General features: G+C 48.1%; 2 protein-coding genes and 1 long non-coding RNA gene across 10 annotated transcripts in view, besides 8 other annotated features; 1 reads left to right on the top strand and 2 right to left on the bottom strand.

Annotated features, from left to right (window-relative positions):
• Window positions 1-8,579, bottom strand: part of MLEC (malectin) — a 14,711-nt gene extending 6,132 nt beyond the window's left edge. The window contains exons 1-5 of one of the 4 annotated variants that reach the window (XM_011539032.2): window positions 3,392-8,235; window positions 2,600-3,079; window positions 1,459-1,637; window positions 728-904; window positions 576-633 (exon numbers count right to left, since the gene is read on the bottom strand). In XM_011539032.2, coding sequence (XP_011537334.1) covers window positions 576-633; window positions 728-904; window positions 1,459-1,623 — 400 coding nt within the window. In that variant the 5' untranslated portion in view covers window positions 1,624-1,637; window positions 2,600-3,079; window positions 3,392-8,235. Of the gene's footprint in view, window positions 1-575; window positions 634-727; window positions 905-1,458; window positions 1,638-2,599; window positions 3,080-3,391 lie in introns of all 4 variants that reach the window. The other 3 variants (NM_014730.4, NM_001303627.2, NM_001303628.2) reach the window with 3 other exon arrangements.
• Window positions 8,221-8,520: a silencer, noted in NCBI's record as "silent region_4963". NCBI's record gives its function as "represses an Ori minimal core promoter by ATAC-STARR-seq in GM12878 lymphoblastoid cells {active_cell/tissue: GM12878}" and the evidence as "EXISTENCE:reporter gene assay evidence [ECO:0000049][PMID:35858748]".
• Window positions 8,221-8,776: a biological region, named in NCBI's record as "H3K27ac hESC enhancer GRCh37_chr12:121124755-121125256".
• Window positions 8,275-8,776: an enhancer, noted in NCBI's record as "H3K27ac hESC enhancer chr12:121124755-121125256 (GRCh37/hg19 assembly coordinates)". NCBI's record gives its function as "activates a minimal SCP1, AML or CMV promoter by ChIP-STARR-seq in naive H9 embryonic stem cells {active_cell/tissue: H9 hESC(naive)}" and the evidence as "EXISTENCE:reporter gene assay evidence [ECO:0000049][PMID:30033119]".
• LOC105370029 (uncharacterized) lies at window positions 8,579-19,552 on the top strand. Of its 2 annotated transcripts, none has more exons than XR_945449.3 (3): window positions 8,579-8,874; window positions 12,723-12,832; window positions 19,334-19,552. It is a non-coding gene; the product is annotated as an uncharacterized LOC105370029 (long non-coding RNA). The 2 variants fall into 2 exon arrangements; XR_007063490.1 differs by having other exon boundaries at window positions 8,702-8,787.
• Window positions 8,871-9,000: an enhancer, noted in NCBI's record as "active region_7149". NCBI's record gives its function as "activates an Ori minimal core promoter by ATAC-STARR-seq in GM12878 lymphoblastoid cells {active_cell/tissue: GM12878}" and the evidence as "EXISTENCE:reporter gene assay evidence [ECO:0000049][PMID:35858748]".
• Window positions 9,091-9,200: an enhancer, noted in NCBI's record as "active region_7148". NCBI's record gives its function as "activates an Ori minimal core promoter by ATAC-STARR-seq in GM12878 lymphoblastoid cells {active_cell/tissue: GM12878}" and the evidence as "EXISTENCE:reporter gene assay evidence [ECO:0000049][PMID:35858748]".
• Window positions 9,361-9,460: a silencer, noted in NCBI's record as "silent region_4962". NCBI's record gives its function as "represses an Ori minimal core promoter by ATAC-STARR-seq in GM12878 lymphoblastoid cells {active_cell/tissue: GM12878}" and the evidence as "EXISTENCE:reporter gene assay evidence [ECO:0000049][PMID:35858748]".
• Window positions 10,575-10,664: a silencer, noted in NCBI's record as "silent region_4961". NCBI's record gives its function as "represses an Ori minimal core promoter by ATAC-STARR-seq in GM12878 lymphoblastoid cells {active_cell/tissue: GM12878}" and the evidence as "EXISTENCE:reporter gene assay evidence [ECO:0000049][PMID:35858748]".
• The window catches only part of CABP1 (calcium binding protein 1), a 40,241-nt gene continuing 35,550 nt past the window's right edge, over window positions 14,862-19,552 (bottom strand). For 2 of the 4 annotated variants that reach the window (XM_017020238.3, XM_024449280.2), the window contains one exon: window positions 14,870-15,420. In XM_017020238.3, the coding sequence (XP_016875727.1) occupies window positions 15,290-15,420 (131 nt within the window). In that variant the 3' untranslated portion in view covers window positions 14,870-15,289. Of the gene's footprint in view, window positions 15,421-19,552 lie in introns of all 4 variants that reach the window. The other 2 variants (XM_017020235.2, XM_017020239.3) reach the window with 2 other exon arrangements.
• Window positions 15,384-15,493: an enhancer, noted in NCBI's record as "active region_7147". NCBI's record gives its function as "activates an Ori minimal core promoter by ATAC-STARR-seq in GM12878 lymphoblastoid cells {active_cell/tissue: GM12878}" and the evidence as "EXISTENCE:reporter gene assay evidence [ECO:0000049][PMID:35858748]".

Here is a 19,552-nt window from a genome sequence, read left to right as displayed (position 1 = left end):
AAATGTCACAAAGACGCAGCTTTCTCTGCAAAAATCAGCCTGAGATGCTGGCAGCCAGGAGAATCTAAACCCTGAGAAAGAAATATACTCTAAGACTTGATCCCAAGGATAAGGAGACATAAATAAGTGAAGTTTTGTCCCAGTGCAGTCCAGCAATGCTGGAATCTTTCAGAGCATACCAAAAGCCTACAGGACTCCTCCTTTTACCTTTTTTTCCCCTAGGAAAGAGATGTCAAACAAACAGAATAAGGACAAGTTTTAGGTGATCCCAAATGACTACAAAGGTCAGGGTACACCAATAGGTACCATTATTAATCCCAATTTATAGGGAAATTAAAAGCATCCATCCAAGACAAACATCTGATTAAATGGCAGCAACAAGATATACATAGACCTGACTCCAAAGCTTGTGGCTAGTACCATGTTATGCTTCATCCTTATCCAACTGATTCTGAATCCCCTACAATTTAGCTTTAAGTGTTTCCAAAATAGTCATCAGCTCAATTACCTCCCAAGGGCTTCCTCAACCATATCCCTCCACTCAAGTCAAAAAAGCAGGTCAGAACACAACCTACCATCCACTGTCCCAGCCATGATGTAGAGTGCACAGACCTTGGGATTGTCATAGTACCCCTAGGAAAAGGGAAACAGTGGTCAACCCCACACAGCAGCAAACAACTTCCCCTGTACCCACTCTCTTCAGCAATGGGCAGAATAGGGGAATTACCTTGACAAACTCAATGTAGAGTTTCCCTGTGAAGGTGGACACCTCCCCCTGGACACTCAGCTTCCCCTTTCTGATGCTCATAGGTATAATTTCATCGTGAGCTGTGCTATGCCCAACACGATCAAAGATATCCAAGTCCTTCACCACGACGTGGCCATTCAATCGTACATCAAATACCTTCCAGGATAAGAAAAGAAAACAATGTCAAAACCATCAGCTTTACATCCTTTCAAGCAGTTGGACATCATGCACGTGTTTGGGCTTGAAGTTCAAAAATAATTTAAGAAATGATGGGTCTGGATATCCAGGGTGGTTAGCATCCTTAACCCGGGTCAAATCAAAGCCGTGTTCCTTCACTGCCCAGGAGTTCTTATATTGGCTTTAAGGAACAAAGAATACAAACAAAAAGCTTAGCATAGGAAGAAGGAAATTCACAGGAAGGGACAGAGGAAAAATAAGGCTAAAAACAAGAAGGTGCGGCAAACCATGGAGGGAAGTAGCCAGGAGGGCCTTAACAGGATCAGTTAGTTGGCAAAACAAGGATTCTGGCATTGCTTTCTGTCACTCACCCCCAAGGCAAGTGCAGCCTTGTGCACTATGGAACATGCTTCTCTAGAGCTCATCTGTTCTGCCTTTCTGGAGAGACTCTCACACTCTCTAGCCCCATAATCGTGGATTGTCCAAGAGCAGCAATGTCCTACTGGTCAAGCAGCAGCCTGACTAGGCCTCACCTTTTGCTGGGACTGTGCAAAGTAGACCTCTGCAAATTTCAAGACCAGCACGTAGTCCCCCTCCTCTTTGATGGGCACTTCGTAGCCAAAGGTCTCCTCATTGTACCGCTCAGTTTGATACAGGATCTGGTCCTCAGGGTTGGAACGCAGGATTGGCAGTTTCATGCCATAGTCTGAGGCTGAGGACAAAAGACAAAGAGAAAGCACATCAGAGGCAAGACACAAAAGAAAAGCAAAGACCCCAGAACAGCCAGAGGCATTTCCAGGGCAATGCTAATAACCCTCTCCATAAAAGGGGCCACCCACTCTGCACCTGGCTCCAAACAGAGCTCCAACAAAGGCAGGAATCATACAGCCATTACTATGGAAGAGTAAAATGAAAGAAACTAAACACTAATCAGGCCAACAGCCCCTGTAAACCTCAGAGCGGAACTTTCTAAAAGCACATTAAAATGACTTTTTCCCCCTGACTGTACGGAGAACAAGTCTAACTCATTACCAGAAGAAAGTGCTGTGTTGCAGCTGCCTGGTTCCCCAAGAGGGAGGGCTTCAGAGAAACCTCCTAAAACAAGGGGGATGGCCAGGAACTCCATACAAGATGAAGTTCAAAGAATGTTTTCTCTCATTCAGAAAAGCCCAGAGTCTAAAACAAACAGGATATCTGCTTTGGAAAGTCATTCTTCATTGTCCTTACGAATAAAATTCCAGCTTTAGTTGTTGTGTGTTTTTTTTATAATTTTCATTCAAAAAGTTCCAAAGCTGTAAACAAAAACAGGCTCATAAAAGAAAGGTGTGATGCTAATTTCCTTCCTTCCCACAGACTCACAAAACTCCACCTCACCTACTTACTTGAACATTCACTCAGATAAACCAACAGCAGAAAAAAAAAGTCACCACTGCACCTCCAGTGCCTAGCACGGGACCTGGCACATAGTCGCCACTCATACAGTTTGCTGAATGAATAAATGACAATGAAGGAGGTGCCTGCAAAGCAGTGAAGCCATGCCACTCTGTCCACAAGGCTGGAGCATCCTGCAGGGCAAGGCAATCTGCCTAAGATGTCCAAGTCCTAGGGGAATCACCTTTCACATTTCACAAACTGACAAGGAATGAGAGAGGATAAAAGTAAAAAGTTACTTACCTCGGGTCAGTATCAGAAGAGCAGAAAACCTCTCTTGGCCCTGGCCCTCTCCCAACCTTGGTGTAAGACAGTTGTATATATGTTTTTTTCTTCCTCTCGCACAACACACTAAACTCCTGACCGCAGGTGATCCACCCGCATCGGCCTCCCAAAGTGCTAGGATTACAGGCGTGAGCCACCGCGCCAGGCCGAATCTTTTTTGTGCAAATATAAGATATCACATTTCAGTCTCAGAGGTAAATAGTTCTGCTTCCTCCAGAGAGTAGCCTGACTCCTTTATCCTATAAACACAGTAAGGCTTTCCAGTGCTCCATAAATATACTGTTCCAACTACAGATGTAGCCGTCATGTAGTCTCTCCTCCCGCATGAAATTAAGATTTCAAGACTGCCTTCCAATCTCACGTGGTGACCCTGAAGACATCTGGCAACTAGATCCTTTGGGAGAAGGCCAGGGGCTGTCATCCCCAGAGCTTTATCTTCTGAATCATCAACAAGGGAGAAGACATGGCAAAAGGTAAAAGATTAACAAAAAGACCCAGTGGTTGAGGTCAAGACCTCAAAAAAATAAACATAACTGTTAACAGTTCCTGTAAGTGACATTAGCCACGAGATCAGAGGGACTGATGAGACAATGGAAGAGGAAACTCATTGCACTTTTGTCTTCAGACTTTTTTCTTTCTATTTCTCCTCAAGAAATCAAAGAGTAGCTGAGCAATGCATACAAAGGATGTACTGCTAACATGCTCCCCCTCCTTTCCAGCCTCAAAAAACCATTGCCCCGGGATACAAACCTATGAAGACTGAAAGACTGCTGTTTCTCTTCCAACTGAGCTCTAAGAATTTCCTTCTTCCATGAGGACTGTGATCATTACAAATCTGGAACATCGACTACATTTGATTTACGGATACACAGAAAATTTTGTGCATGGGTGGGGAATTGTTTTTTTGTTTTTGTTTTTGTTTTTTGGAGACGGAGTTTCGCTCTTGTTGCCCAAGCTGGAGTGCAATGGCGCAATCTCAGCTCACTGCAACCTCCACCTCCCAGGGTCAAGCGATTCTCCTGCCTCAGCCTCCCAAGTAGCTGGGATTACAGGCACGCATCACCACGCCCGGCTAATTTTTTGTATTTTTAGTAGAAACGGGCTTTCACTATGTTAGCCAAGCTGGTCTCCAACTCCAACCTCAGGTGATCTGCCCGCATCGGCCTCCCAAAGTGCTAGGATTATAGGCGTGAGCCACCACACCAGGCCGAATCTTTTTTTTTTTCTTGCCAAGTGGAAAAAGTGAGGAACTGACAGTAACGTAATCTGCGGCAGTCTCAGTCCCACAGTGAAGAAAACTCAACCATGTGAACAAAAATTACTTAACAACCTTGGAATTACCTTTAAAATATTTCCCTTTAAAACCCAAGTGGCTTTCCCAAGAGATCTGCCACGTGCAAAGTTGAATTTGCCCAAGTCCCAAGAGATGCAGCAGCAAACAAGGGTTGTTCCTCCCTCCTTAGCCTTTATGCATTCACAGCGAAACAGATTTCTCTAAAATACAATGAAGTGTACAGTCAGCATACTGCTGAAATTGGCATAACTCAGTTAACCAAAAAGGAAGGGGGCCGAAGGGCCTACATTATGTCTGCTCTTTCTTAGTTTTAGACAATGTAGTAACTAGGCTCCTTGGAAAATTCAGCACAGGGTTCAGGAAAAGACATACACGAAGTGTCACTGAACAAGTTGTTTTCTCTAGGTCTGTTTTCTCACCTATAAAATGGGGACACCACCTATCCCACAGCATTGTGGTAAGGATAAAACAATCTGTATAAATAGCTCAATACAATGCCTCACACGGAGAGAGACACAGAAACATGGGTATGCTAGCCAGGCAAGGATATGCACACGATAAGCACTAAACAAATGCCTCCACTCAAGGCAGTTTAGGGAATGGATCAAAAGAAAAGGAAGTAATAAAACTAACTGGAAAACTGCAACTGGGAACCACAAGAGTGGGAAAGCCAGAATGAGCAGAAGCCTGTCCTCCATGAGAACACAGCTGTAAAGCCCCCCTTGGTGCTCTAGCGTCACTCCCACCCTACCCTCAGATCTCCTGGTCACTAGACTGTTCTTCTGGATCACTTCTTTCTCCAGTGAGGCCAGTACCTAAAGAATTGTTCTGAATGGGCTGAGACAGCGAACCCACGGATTCAGGGACCTAAATTTTCTACCTGTGAACTTCCACTATTTGGAAGGCCTGCAGATGAAGCCTGCCTGTTAGGTGACAGTAGAGGTAGAGAATTCTAAACAACTGCCATGGCTTTGAGCAAATCAGAGGTAGCAGTGACTCCTCTCTCATCCCATGTTTCAAGCTCTTACCTCCCCAAAGCCAAATCCTTCCCCAGGTGAAAGGAAGGCAGCCCAGGAAAGGGTATTCCTTAAGGTTACAGCATTAGCAACCTGATAGGCTCTGGTCCCCAACCAACTTTTTTCCCCTCTGGAGCTATGTTCTGCCCTATTTTTAATTCCATGTAAAAGGTCATCAAGGAAAAAAAAAGTGACAGAGACACTTCAAGCTACTCTGGACAGGAGAGTTTACAGTCTTATCAGAAATTTCTAAAGCATGAGAGATTTTTTGAAAAGGAAAACAAGGCTCAGAGACGTAAAGCAAGTTTCTCGAGGACCTGCGACTTTAGCAGGTATCTTTCTCTGAAGAGGAAATAGCCTTCCCTAAACTCAAGCAAAATTCTGTGCCCTCAGGTCAAATAACCAGGTCTTTTCCTAGTCAGAGTGAAGAGGAACTCAAAATGACCAAGTTACAAATCTGGAACATGGTCAGGCGTGATGGTTCATGCCTGTAATCCCAGCAGTTTGGGAGGCCAAGGTGGGAAGATCACTTGAGGACAGAAGTTCAAGACCAGCCTGGGCAACATAGTGAGACCCCTGTGTCTACAATAAAAAAAAAATTAAAAATTTTCAATAAATAAATAAAAACCCTGGAATGTGCCTCATACCAAAACCCCAAGGTGAACGCTTCTAAACCACTTTCTGTAGTGGTGCTCCCATCTGTGGAAGCACACAGGCTGAAAAAGCCTTTCCCAGGCTGTAAGCACTAGCTATCCTCAAGGCAGAAATGAAATTCAATAAATATTCTGAACTGCTTTTGAAAGCATAAACCACTAGGTGCCCTGGGCCACTCACAATTACAAGAATGTTGAACTACAAAGAAACTACACAGAAACAGCAAGTTCAAAAGAAGGCCAAACCCTTATCTGGACTAACTTGGTAACAAATACCTGAATTCATTCAACATAAAATCAACTTTTCTCAGCATGCTGGAAACAATATCACAGGCAGGCGGGAAAAGAAATAAGGCATACAGTTCCTACTGCAATCAGTGTAAATAGCTGCACGAGGCAAGGGTCTTCAAATACCTGGCACACCCTTATCCAAACAGGCCCAGAAGAAAGGCAGTGTGAACAGCTGGACTTCCCTTGGTAGGACTGACTCCTTAGTAGAGAGCTGCCTCCTGAGAGTGCAAGCTTATGCGCATCTCAGCCCGACCTAAAGCCAGCAAAATGCCTTTCTCAGGAACCTGGTAAGCGCAATGTTGCAACAAGCTGGTCCAAACTGCAGCTGACAAGCGCCACCTCCCACTCCCCATCCATGCCTTAATACTGCTCCAATTCTTACCCAGATTGGTAGAATGGAGAGGGGAACCTTAGCAGGGAACCTTCATTTATACAATGCCCCAAGGGCCAGTGTCCGAAATAGGACTCCAGTACACACAAGCTTTGGTAGGTCTCATGTAATTTTACCTGCTACAATAAACTCCTTCCAAGGAACTGCAACCATGAGCCAATAACCCAAGGACACAGATCTTGGCTGACTGCTGACCAAGCCAAAGAAACACACACACACACACACACACACACACACCACCTGCATCAGCAAATTAAAACCAGAATTTCTGAATAAGGGCAGTATCTGGGAACTAAACCTGTGTGGTCTTACTCGGCTTTATTCTCTGCACAACAGACTGAATAGGACGATGTAACCAATGTAAGGCCTGGTATCTGCTAAGTGAAAGAAACCATCCGCTCAGCACCCTCACCACCGCTATCTCAAGAGGCAAAGTCCACAAACTGTCTAGTTTCCTCAAGGGCTCTTTCCTCCCTGCCCACACTCGTGAAGAAAGAGGAAGGGTCCAGGATAGAGATAGTAATGACCTCCTGCTATAAAGTCTGGCTTTGGCTGCTGTTACCGCTGCTAAAGACTGGAGCCCTGAGTCAGCTGAACCCAGGCTACTGTGATCTACATGCCAGGGCTCAACAAACTCCAAGACAAACATAGAACTTCACAAAACAGCCCTGTGTCCCAAGACCCTCACATGTGTGAAAGGCAATAAACTCCTTAATATAACAAACTCCAGGACACTGCAATCGACTTGGGAAGAACTAACTATTTTAGTAAAAGCAAGAGCCAAATCTGGGCATCGCAGAAAAAGAATGAGAGAAAGTGAAGAGTGAGTCTGTCTCCTGGTTGTCTGGAGGTGGCATACTGCCAATTTGGTAGCCTCTGAACCCAGCATACAGTATCAATCTCCTAGCAAAGAACTTCCTTCTGAAACCTGTTTTCCAATCCCTCCAACAGAAGAAACAAAGATTATAAAGCTGATCTTCCAAAACGGTGGTCTCGGGGCAACCTACATCACAAGCCCCTGGTGCAGAAACCTGGATCCCAGCAAAAAAGCTCAATCTACTATAATCAATTTCGAGTGGGGACTAGGAATCTGCATTTTTAACCAGCTGCCCTGGCAATTCTGACACACACTAACTTTGGGAAGGGAGCAGCTCCGTTAAAAACCACTGTTGCCCAGCAAGTTAAGTCACAATCATTTTCCCCCTAAGCTGGAATTAGAACTCTCAGGATCACCTAGGGGAGGTTGTAAGCATTCTCTGATAGACCATTCGGATTCTTACACTGGTTGACCCAGTTCACACACAGCCACCAGCCTCACGTGCAGGATGGCTTCGATAGAACCACCCTCTGGGGGCGGCCTGCCGATTCTACTTTTAAGCACACATATTCTTCGCTCGAAAAGAGGGCGGGGGAGGAGGCTACAATCAAACTTTCCTGGCCCATTCTCTTCGAAGATTCCTTCCTATTCTGGCTAAGAATCAAGCCCCGCTCCTGCAGAAGGGGCAAGGAAAGCGGCCGATTCCTGGGTCGACGAGAATCTCCCAAGAACTGTCTCGACAGGAGAAGCAGGGGCACCCATGACCTACAACCCGCGAGGCCTGGAGGTAGCAAAAGGCCGCCTTCGTCATTTCTCTCCCAGCTTGGATGGGAGTGAGGGGTTGAGAAAATGCAGGATGAGAAATCCAAATATAACTAACTTCTGGCCAACTCTCTGCCTGTATGACTCTAGGTACCTTGGAGCCAGTGCCAGGCCCTGAGCTCAGAGCGGGCCCCCGAAGAAGCTGCAGAGAGAAACTTCGCTCCAGAGACGCGGCCCCAGGGTCGAAAGGGGCTCGGGGCCCGCAGCCCCCGGCCGGCTGCGCCCAGCACAGCAGGCCCTGGATCCCGCGGCTCGGCAGGGGGACTCTCACCTCGGCCCACCCGGCCTTCCAAAGGGTCCTTGCGGAAGTGGATCCCGTGCACGTCCACATGCGCCTCTCCACCCGCGTTGACCGCCCAAATGACGCTCTCGGGCAGCCCGGCCCCCGCCGCGCCGGCCACGCCGGCCACGCCGAGCCCGGGTCCCCGGATCGCCGGCGGCAGCAGCAGCAGCAGCAGTCGCAGGAGCGCCACAGCGGTTCCCTCAACCGCCCAGGCTCCCAGCATGGCGGCCACCACCACGGGGGCAGCCCCCGCCGACCCTCGTCCTCGGCCGGCTGCCAGGCCACCCCGGACTCAGAAAAACAGCGCCACGGGCCGCTCCGCCTGAGCCGCCGGGGACATGTCGCTCTCAGGCCTCCTTCTTCTCAGCCACGGGTACCGCCTCCCACCTCAGGAACAACCTACCCCGCCGCCCTGCCCCCGGCCACGACGCTGCAGCCAATCAGCGCCCGGCCCTCATTAATTACCCACCACCCCGCCGGGAGGCGCCCGCTCATTGGCTGTCAGGCGCGGGAAAGGGCGTGGCTTCTCCCAGGCGCCGGCCCAGCAGTCGGGCACCAGATGGAGCGCGCGCAGAGGGAGTGAGTTCGGTTGAAGCGGCGGTTCGATGCGGAAGTGGCGGGTGCAGCGCCCAGGCGGCCCCGGAATCCCACAGCTGAATGGGAAAGGTGGCCTGGGGGGGGAAGGTTTAGGGTAGGGCGCACTGACATGTCGCCAGCACTTCCGGTGCTCTAGCTCCTGAGACCAAATAGGCTCTGGAGGGGGCGTGGCCGACTTTCCCGCCCCCTCTTCTTTTCTCAGGGAGCAGCATGAGCATAAATTCTAGTAGGAGAAGCAATGGACACTCTCCAGACCTAAGAGACGCAGTCCTTTTCCCCGCGTGAGGGAGAGGACCCATGCTTTCCCAGAGAGGCCGCGGACACAGGTCTCCAGGGAACGAATCCCATGAGAATAAGGCCCCGCCCCCTCCCCTTAGCGGGCTCGGGGCGGGTGGTAGCGTCCAGACGGCCGTCCAATGAGAAGGCTCCAACGCAGCGGAAACGCGTGGCTTTGAGAGCGAGTGGGTGCCAGGCTGCTCGCGTCTCCATGGCGACGGCCTCTGGCCGGCCTCCGCTGCGTAGGGGCGGGACCGAGGCACCCTAGGCGCTGGCGGGAGTCGCCGCCGGCGGTGCCCAGAGTGGATACCGGGGTTGTCCCGCACGGGCACGGCCCGAACTCCCTCCCTGCTCCTTCACAGTTCACCTGGCGCTCTCCCACACTGGCGATCCCTGCGCTTCGGTCGCTGTTCAAACTCCCATTTTTCCGATGGGGAAACTGAGGCATAGAAAGGGACTGAATTTTGCCAAAGGGTCGCACCGCAAGTGTAGGGCAGAGTCAAGGCAAAAACAAAAAAAACAAAAAAACGCTTATGCATTTTCCATAAATACTGGTCGATTTAGAAATTCTCCCTAAAAGGAAAAAAATGTATCAAGTCCCTGCTACCAGGGTTGTCAGATTTGGCAGATAAAATAGGAGAAGCCCAGTTATATTTGAATTTCAGATAAGCAAATGGGACCCACTTATACTAAAAAAAAAAATGCATTGTTTATTAAAATTTAAACAACTGGACTTCTTGTATTTTATCTACCAATCCTACCTACTACTTAGGCAATGAGCTTTGTGCTACATGAACAAAAAACACACCTGGGGTCCCGCATGAGAATCATAGACTTTGCACAACCCATAATGAAATTAATTGTTTAGTTAGAACAGTGGTAAGTGCTATACGGGAACAAAACAGGGTGCCAAAATAGAGACTATCAGTGGTGGATCTAAATGCACCCAAATTCCTTCCCAGGCCCCAAATTCAGACCCCATGGGGGTAACTTTTGGAAGTGTTCCCTCCCGGTCTCACTTTCCCCCCTATTTTGCAAGCATCTGGCCTTACTTCCTCCCATAGACATGTTTCCTGTCCAAGGTGTTTCTTTTTTTTTTTTTTTCTGTCTTTTTTGGAGACAGAGTCTTGCTCTGTCGCCAGGCTGGAGTGCAGTGGTGCAATCTCGGCTCATGGCAACCTCCACCTCCCGGGTTTAGGCGATTCTGCTGCCTCAGCCTCCTGAGTAGCTGGGACTACAGGCGCGCGCCACCACACCCAACTAGTTTTTTTTATTTTTATTAGAGACCGAGTTTCACCATGTTGGCCAGGATGATCTCGATCTCCTGACCTCGGGGTCCGCGGCCTCCCAAAGTGCTGGGATTACAGGTGTGAGCCACCACACCTGGCCTCTTGGGGTTTCTAATTCTACTATTCTCTCTCTCAAACTGTCATCTTTTAAGGATCTTGACAACTCAGAGGCTTCAGTTACCCTCAAAGGAGGGGTGTGGTGCAAATGGGGAACAGAAACACAAGTAGTGGTGATGGGGCTTCCTCCCTCCAGGCAGTTGGCCTGCAGAGCCCACGTACCACTCAGGTATTGCACTGCCACCAGGCGCTCATGTTTATTTTATCCTCAAGGCAGTCTAGTCCAGGAGAAACAATCACAAAAACGGATTAAATTTTGGGGGAGGCCTCTAAAGGCTTTCTCTCAGTCCTTCGTGTCTTTGGTCACCCCAGAGGGTGAAGAAGATACCCGGCTGGCTCCTGTTATTGAGCCCTTCAGATACCATTCGTGGTTGGGCCATCTGTGTACCAAGGAGCTTGGCTCCCTTTCTGAGATCCAGCTGCTCATGAATTAGGCTGTCTTTTCAGTAAAACGTAAAGTCTGAGACCCTGGAGGCAGGGTATGGGATCCGAGCGTGGGATCTAAGACAGGCTGCCTGCATCCCATGCCTAGTCCCATTTACCCACTGTGTGGCCTTGGGCAAGTGATGTACTTCGCTGAGTTTCAGTTTCCTCAGTTGTGAAATAGAGATACAGTCATGAGTCACTTAATGACAGGGATGCGTTCTGAAAAATGCATCATTAAGCGATTTTGTCATTGTGCAGAGATCACAGAGTGTACTTACACAAACCTAGATGGGGATAGCCTGCTATACACCTAGGCTATATGGTATAGCTGATAGCTCCTACACTACAAACCTCTACAGCATGTTACCTTACTGAATACTGTAGACAGTTGAACACAATGGTAAGTATTTGCGTATCTAAACACAGATACAGTATAAACACAGTATTGGCCAGCCTAGTGGCCCATGCCTGTAATTCCAGCACTTTGGGAGGCTGAGGTGGGTGGATCACTTGAGGCCAGGAGTTCGAGACCAGCCTGACCAACATGGAAAAACCCTGTCTCTACTAAAAATACAAAAATTAGCTGGGCATGGTGGGGCGCACCTGTAATCCCAGCTATTCGGAAGGCCGAGGCAGGAGACTCGCTTGAACCCGGGAGGCAGAGGTTACAGTGAGCCGAGATCGCACCACTGCACTCTAGCCTGGGTGACAGAGTGAGATCCAGTCTCAAAAAAAAAATATATATATATATACACACACACACACACACACACACACACACAAAATTTTATTTATTTATTTATTTATTTATTTATTGTGGAGACAGATTCTCACTATGTTGTCCAGGCTGGCCTCTAACTTGTGGCCTCAAGCGGTCCTCCCGCCTTGACCTTCCAAAGTCCTGGGATTACAGGCCTAAGCCCCTGCACCCAGCCAATATTATAATCTCACGGGACCATCATCGTGTATGTGGTTCGTCATTGGCTGAAATGTTATGTAGCACATGACTGGAATACTTTATTTTACTTATTTATTTTTTGAGACAGAGTCTCACTCTTGCCCAGGCTGGAGTGCAGTGGCATGATCTCGGCTCACTTCAGCCTCTGCCTCCTGGGTTCAAGCAATTCTCGTGTCTCAGCCTCCCAGATAGCTGGGATTATAGGCATGCACCACCATGCCTGGCTAATTTTTGTATTTTTAGTAGAGACAGGGTTTCTCCATGTTGGCCAGCCTGGTCTTGAACTTCTGGCCTCAAGTGATCCACCTGCCTTGGCCTCCCAAAGTGCTGGGATTACAGGTGTGAACAACCGCACCTGGCCTGGAATAGTTTCTATTTCAGAGGGCAGACGTGAGGATTAAAGAAGGTAATAAAACCGCATGAAGAAGAGGAGGAGAAGGTGGTAATGCATATAATAAAGTCATTAGAATTGATAAAGAGCTGAAACAATTGTTTAGATACTCCGAGACCAACCACCATAGCCACATAACCAAAATTTTAGCACCTGATTTTCCAAAATGCTAACTCTAAACATAAACAAAGCACAAGAATAAGTTTTCTTCCCTTATTAGCATGATTCCACAGAATTAAACCAATCAGCCATAGACAAACCAGCTTAAGCAGCTCTATTTGCCTTTGAAAAAATATATATCAGCCAATCATGTAAAGGGTCAAAATACTTCCTCTTGTGCTACAACTGCTGTCAATTCAGACTTCTTGCCAATCTTGTAATCTCCCGATTCACAGACTCTTCCTTTGTATGCACAATCAACTCCTGAAATTTTAACTTGATCTGATTTTATTTTTGACAGATTCATGCCTGGCACAAGCCAAGGCACTCAACCGATTGCTACTCTGAAATGAAAGTCTCGGCCGGGCACGGTGGCTCACGCCTGTAATCCTAGCACTTTGGAAGGCCGAGGTGAGTGGATCACCTGAGGTTGGGAGTTCAAGACCAGCCTGACCAACATGGAGAAACCGCATCTCTACTAAAAATACAAAATTAGCCGGGCATGGTGGTGCATGCCTGTAATCCCAGCTATTCAGGAAGGTGAGGCAGGAGAATCGCTTGAACCCGGGAGGCGTAAGTTGTGGTGAGCCGATATTGTGCCATTGCACTCCAGCCTGGGCAACAAAAGCGAAACTCCGTCTCAAAAAAAAAAAAAAAAAAGAAAGAAAGAAAGTCTCTTGAGTTCTTGCCTTCTGAACTTGTACCCCCCACCTTGTACTGTAAGAAGCTGCTAGATCTATGTTTTTTTTTTGGTTTTTTTTTTTTTTTATGAGACAGGGTCTCGTTCCATTGCCCAGTCTGGAGTACAGTGGCACAATCATGGGTCACTGCAGCCTCGATCTCCCAGGCTCAAGGGATACTCCTACCTCAGCCACCCAAGTAACTGGAACTAGAGGCATGTGCCACCATGCCCCACTAATTTTTTTATTTTTTTGTAGAGATGGGGTCTTTTGCGATGTTGCCCAAGCTGGTTCGAACTCCTGGGCTCAAGCAGTCCTCACACCTCGGCCTCCCAGAGTGCTGGTATTACAGGCATAAGCCACTGCACCTGGTCCCAGATATACGCTTTTAGGAACTCTTGATAAAATTGTTTGTAGCCACAAATCTGTACGAGTCTACAGCACCTCAATTCTTGGCTGGGCGTGGTGGCTCACGCCTGTAATCCCAGCACTTTGGGGGGCCAAGGCAGGTGAATCACCTGAGGTCAGGAGTTCAAGACTAGCCTGGCCAACATGTCGAGACCCCACCTCTACAAAAATATAAAAATTAGCCAGGCGTGGTAGCATGCGTTTGTAGTCCCAGCTACTTGGGAGGCTGAGGCAGGAGAATCGCTTGAACCCAGGAGGTGGAGGTTGCAGTGAGCCAAGATCATGCCACTGCACTCCAGCCTGGGTGACAGAGTGAGACTCTGTCTCAAAAATATATATATATATATATTGACTCCTCAGAAGAATTCAACTAAGGGGCAAAAGGCAGAGAGAGAGAGACAGAGACAAGTTTTAGAGCAGGAATAAAAGGAAGTAAAAGGCCAGGCACAGTGGCTCATGCCTGTAATCCCAGCACTTTGGGAGGCCAAAGCAGACGGATCACCCTGAGGTCAGGAGTTTGAGACCAGCCTGGCCAACATGGAGAAACCCCGTCTCTACTAAAAATACAAAAATTAGCCAGGCGTGGTGGTGTGCGCCTGTAGTCTCAGCTACTAGGGAGGCTGAGGCAGGAGAAGCGCTTGAACTCGGGAGGCAGAGGTTGCAGTGAGCTGAGATTGCACCACTGTACTCCAGCCTGGGTGACAGAGCAAGAACCCGTCTCAAAAAAAAAAAAAATTGCGCACCTGAGGTGGTATCAGGAGTAGGACCCCCATCTTGTACTATAGAAGGCTACTAGATCTATGCCTTTTTTTTTTTTTTGAGGCAAAGTCTGTCTCTGTTGCCCAGGCTGGAGTGCAGTGGCGCAAACTCGGCTCACTGCAACCTCTCCCTCCTGGGTTCAAGCAATTCTCCAGCCTCAGCATCCCGAGTAGCTGGGACTACAGGCATGCTACCACATCCAGCTAATTTTGGAATTTTTAGTAGAGACAGGGTTTCACCATGTTGGCCAGGCTGGTCTCAAACTCTTGCCCTCAGGTGATCCACCCACTTTGGCCTCCCAAAGTGCTGGGATTACAGGCGTGAGCCACTGCGCCCGGTCCTTTTTTTTTTTTTTTTTTTTTTTTTTTTGAGACAGGGTTTCCTTCTGTTGCCCAGGCTGGAGTACAGTGACATAATCCTGGGTCACTGCAGCCTCTACCTCCCGGGCTCAAGGGATCCTCCCACCTTAGTCTCCCTAGTAACTGGGACTAGATGCATGTGCCACCATGCCCCACTGAATTTTTTTTTCTTTTTTTTTGTAGAGATGAGGTCTTTTGCTATATTGCCCAGGCTGGTCTCAAACTCCTGGGTTCTCCTCCTGCCTCGGCCTCCCAAAGTGCTGGGATTACAGGCATGAGCCTTGATAGGGTTGGGGGCAGAAGACAAAAAGGCCAGAGTCAGGCTAGAGGGCCTGAACCCAGGGCAGGATTATATCCAAAAGCACTGACCCAGAGGGGTCCCCAGATAACCCCAGGTTTGCTCTCAGGATAGACCATGCAGAAGGCATGGAGTCTGAGCCCTGGGAAAGCTGAGAAGAGTGTCAGTCCCCAGGTGGCCCTGGACCCAGGCCATTTCTCTGTAGACAATGAGGAATTTGGGCTCCAGTCTCCCATTTCCCCTCCCTGCTGTGGAAGGTCATCCCCATCTGAGAGCCCAGAAACACTTGGGGCGGCTGCATTCCCACCTCTTTCAGCTGGGGCTGGTTTGCTGCAAACATTTCTGCAAATCCTCCAGCACTCTCTCAGGATGGAGGACTTGCCCTCGTTAGAGTAACAGGAACCAAGATTTGGGGGTCAGACAGAGCTGGGTTCAGTTCCTTCCTCAGCGGCTTCCCAGTCACATCACTTCCTTTCTTGCTGAGTCTCCTTTCTCCTGAAACGCACACCACATTGATGTAAGGACTAAATAGGTAGTTCTTAAATGGGCAGCAGTTATTTTTCTCTGTGGAAGAAAGATACACTTTTTGTAGAAAATGCAGACGACATGGAAGAGAATTTTTCTTTTTCCCATACAGAGTCTTACTCTGTTGCCCAGGTTGGAGTGCAGTGGTGTGATTTCTGCTCACTGCAGCCTCTGCCTCCCGGATTCAAGCAATTCTCCTGCCCCAGCCTCCTTGAGTAGCTGGGATTACAGGTATGTGCCACCACATCTGGCTAATTTTTGTACTTCTAGTAGAGATGGGGTTTCACCATGTTGGCCAGGCTGGTCTCAAACTCCAGACCTCAAGTGATCCGCCCACCTCAGTCTCCCCAAGTATTGGGATTTCAGGCATGAGCTACCATGCTGGCCAGAAGAGACTTTTTTAAAGATAAAATTTGCCATAATTTCTTTTTTCTTTTTTTTTCTTGCTTTGAGACAGAGTTTCGCTCTTGTTGCCCAGGCTGGAGTGCAATGGCGCGATCTCAACTCACCGCAACCTCCACCTCCCGGGTTCAAGTGATTCTCCTGCCTCAGCGTCCCTAGTAGCTGGGATTACAGGCATGCGCCACCATGCCCAGGTAATTTTGTATTTTTAGTAGAGACGGGGTTTCTCCATGTTGGTCTTACTGGTCTTGAACTCCCGACCTCAGGTGATCCGCCCACCTCGGCTTCTCAAAGTGCTGAGATTACAGGCATGAGCCACTGCGCCCAGCCCAAAATTCACCAAAATTTCATCCAAAACTGATATAAGGCATATAAACCCAGGTCCTGACAGAGCAGCTTCTCAATAATCATTGGTTCCTACTTATCCGATGCTCTTAATGACCTCAAAACGTTGGAAAACTAGGTCATGTTCCCTTTTTTGCAGATGAGAAGCTAAAGCTCAGAGAGTTGAGGGATTTGTCCAAAGTCACACAATGAACAGCCAGAATCCAATGTTTTGGCATCTAATATACTTCTTTTCCTTTGAGCCTGGCTATGTAGCAAACATAGTTTGGTGCAAATCACAGCTCTGCCATTAGTCACTGTGTGACTTTGGGTAAATGAATTCACCTCTTTGATCCTTAGTTTCTTCATTTGTGGGATGGAGAGAATAATTGTGCCCACCTTGTAGGACTGTTAAAAATAAGAAAACATATTTTAAATAAACAAAAAATTAAAGTTGGTTTTTTTTTTTTTTTTTTTTGGAGATGGTGTCTCACTCTGTCACCCAGGCTGGAGTGCAGTGGCGTGATCTCATCTCACTGCAACCTTGGCCTCCTCAGTTCAAGTGATTCTCCTGTCTCAGCCTCCCAAGTAGCTGCGACTACAGGCATACACCACCACGCCTGGCTACTTTTTGTATTTTAGTAGAGACAAGGTTTCACCATGTTGGCCAGGCTGGTCTCGAACCCCTGACCTCAAGTGATCTGCCCCCCCCTCAGCATCCCAAAGTACTGGGATTACAGGCATGTGTCACCACGCCCGTCCAGGATGTGGTTTTTAAAATTAGCATTGTGGGACCATTGAGCACGTAGCTAAGTGATCAGTAAATCATAGTCGTGGGTGTTTGGGGCATAGAGACCTGGATTTAAAGCCTAGCTCCACTTCTTAGAGCTGTGTGGCCCTTGGAAAGTCGTTTCTCCTCTCTGGGCCTCAGTTGTCTCACTTGTACAATGGATATAATTAGAAGACCTACCATGTGGGGCTGTTAGGAGCCATTCACAGCGTGCCTGGCCCATAGAAGTCCTCAGTGCACAGAAGCTATTAATTATGTATGAAGAAATAATTATAACAGGTACCGCTGGCAATCTGATAAATAGAAAAGACCTTGATGAAGTGCTGAGGCTAAGGAGTGGGAAATACCCTTCTCCCCAAGGGAGAAAAAACCAAAGGGAACCAGAGTTCAAAAGGGGAAGGTGCAGCAGCTGTGTTTGAGCCCCGAGAGGCAATTTCACCTTGACCCATAAAACTGAAAAGGGTTGTGTCTTCCTGTCCAGATAAGGATCAGAAGAACAAAGCGTACTATTAATTAAGTCCTGCCTATTTTTAAGTTTATGGGATATTTTTCCCCCTTAAAGATAAACTCACAACAAAAGTTCAAAAGGCAAACACAAGGCAGGGGTGGGAGCCAGTCCTGCCAGCCCTGAAACTCTGAGGTGGGTGGTTTGGTCCCAAGACCAAGTTTGCTCACCTTGGGCCTCTGGGAGTTAGACCACAGAGGGACCAGAGCCATCCAGAGAGGTGGGGAGCCAGCCCACCGTGTCTGCTGGTCCTGGCCCCCAGGGTGCAACTCGAACTGAGAAACCTGGCCGGGTCCCCAACTTCGCAGGAGGGAGAATGGACTTGGTGTGTCTTCATGTCCCCCAAGAGGATATGAGTCACAGCGAAGAAGCCAGCCAGGCCCAGTGTGCTCATTGTCTAGGCAGAGAACAGAAAAAACAAGTGCCTTCCCTTCTGGGTGGCCTTGGACAAATCATTTCCCTTCTGCACCTTGGTTTCCTCATCTGTGAATGAGATGGTGATAACTTTCAGCCTCCTAGAGTTGCAATGAGTACGATAGAAAGCAACTTCAGCTGGGCGCTGTGGCTCACGCCTATAATTCCAACACTTCAGGAGGCTGAGGCAGGTGGATCGCTTGAGCCCAGGAGTTCAATACTAGCCTGGGCAACATCGTGAGACACCCCCCACTCCCATCTCTACAAAAAATAAAAACAATAGCTGAGCATTGTGGCGCATGCCAGTAGTCCCAACTACTTGGGAGGCTGAGGTGGGAGGATCACTTGAGCCCAGGAGGCAGAGGCTTCAGTGAGCCAAGATCGTACCACTGTACTCCAGCCTGGGCAACAGAGTGAGACTCTGTCTCAAAAAAAAAAAAAAAAAAAAAAAAGAAGGCTGGGCATAGTGGCTCATGCCTGTAATCCCAGCACTTTAGGAGGCCAAGGCAGGCAGATCACTTGAGGTCAGGAGTTCAAGACCAGCCTGGTCAACATGGTGAAACTTTGTCTCTACCAAAAATACGAAAATTAGCCAGGCATGGTGGCAGGCGCCTGTGGTCCCAGCTACTTGGGAGGCTGAGGCAGGAGAGTCGCTTGAGCCCGGGAGGCGGAGGTTGCAGTGAGCTGAGATCATGCCACTGCACTCCAGCCTGGGCAACAGAGTGAGACTCTATCTCAGGAAAAAAAAAAAAAAAAAACCACAAACTTCAAGAGAATGCCTTACAGACTTACAGAGTCTCACTATGTTGCCCAGGCTGCACTCAAACTCCTGGCCTTAACTGATCCCAAGTAGCTAGGATTACAGACGTGTACCACTGCACTCGGCTTGTTAGCTGCCTATATCATCATCTCCCAGACTTTTTACATTGTGTTAAGGACACAATTGTTGAGTCAGGAATGCCAGGAGGGTCTTTACTATCCACTGTCAGTGTAAGCTTGGCAAGTCACATTCCTTCTCTGAACCTAAGTTTCCTCACCTGGAAATGAGGTGTAAAGACAGAGTGAGATGGTGAATAAAAAGGACTAAAGTACACATACTCAGAAATAAATAAAGCTGACCGGGTGCGGTGGCTGATGCCTGTAATCCCAACACTTTGGGAGGCTGAGGCAGGCGGATCACCTGAAGTCGGGAGTTCAAGGCCAGCCTGACCAACATGGAGAGACCCCATCTTTACTAAAAATACAAAATTAGCCGGGTGTGGTGGCGCATGCCTGTAATCCCAGCTACTCAGGAGGCTGAGGCAAGAGAATCGCTTCAACCCGGGAGGCGGAGGTTGTGATGAGCCGAGATCACATCATCATGCTCCAGCCTGGGCAACAAGAGCAAAACTCTGTCTCAAAAAAAAAAAGAAGAAGAAGAAAGAAAGCAGCTGTTTTATTCTTTTCAGTTTCTTTCCTAGATCCAGACACATTGGGGAGGTAACGAGTCCTATAGCCACACCTGCACGTTGGATTATAAATGGCCAGGTTACTTGTCAGCTGCCCCTCCAGACAAGAGCATTCTGCCATGATGGGAAGGTAGTCTATCCACACCACATGTGCCTATTGAACAGGTGATATGTGACTGGTATGTCTGGGGAACTAATTCTTTGTTTAATTTTAATTCA

Source organism: Homo sapiens, chromosome 12 (assembly GCF_000001405.40).
Source record: "Homo sapiens chromosome 12, GRCh38.p14 Primary Assembly".
NCBI lineage: Eukaryota > Metazoa > Chordata > Mammalia > Primates > Hominidae > Homo > Homo sapiens.
This window is presented reverse-complemented; position numbering and strand designations above follow the sequence as displayed.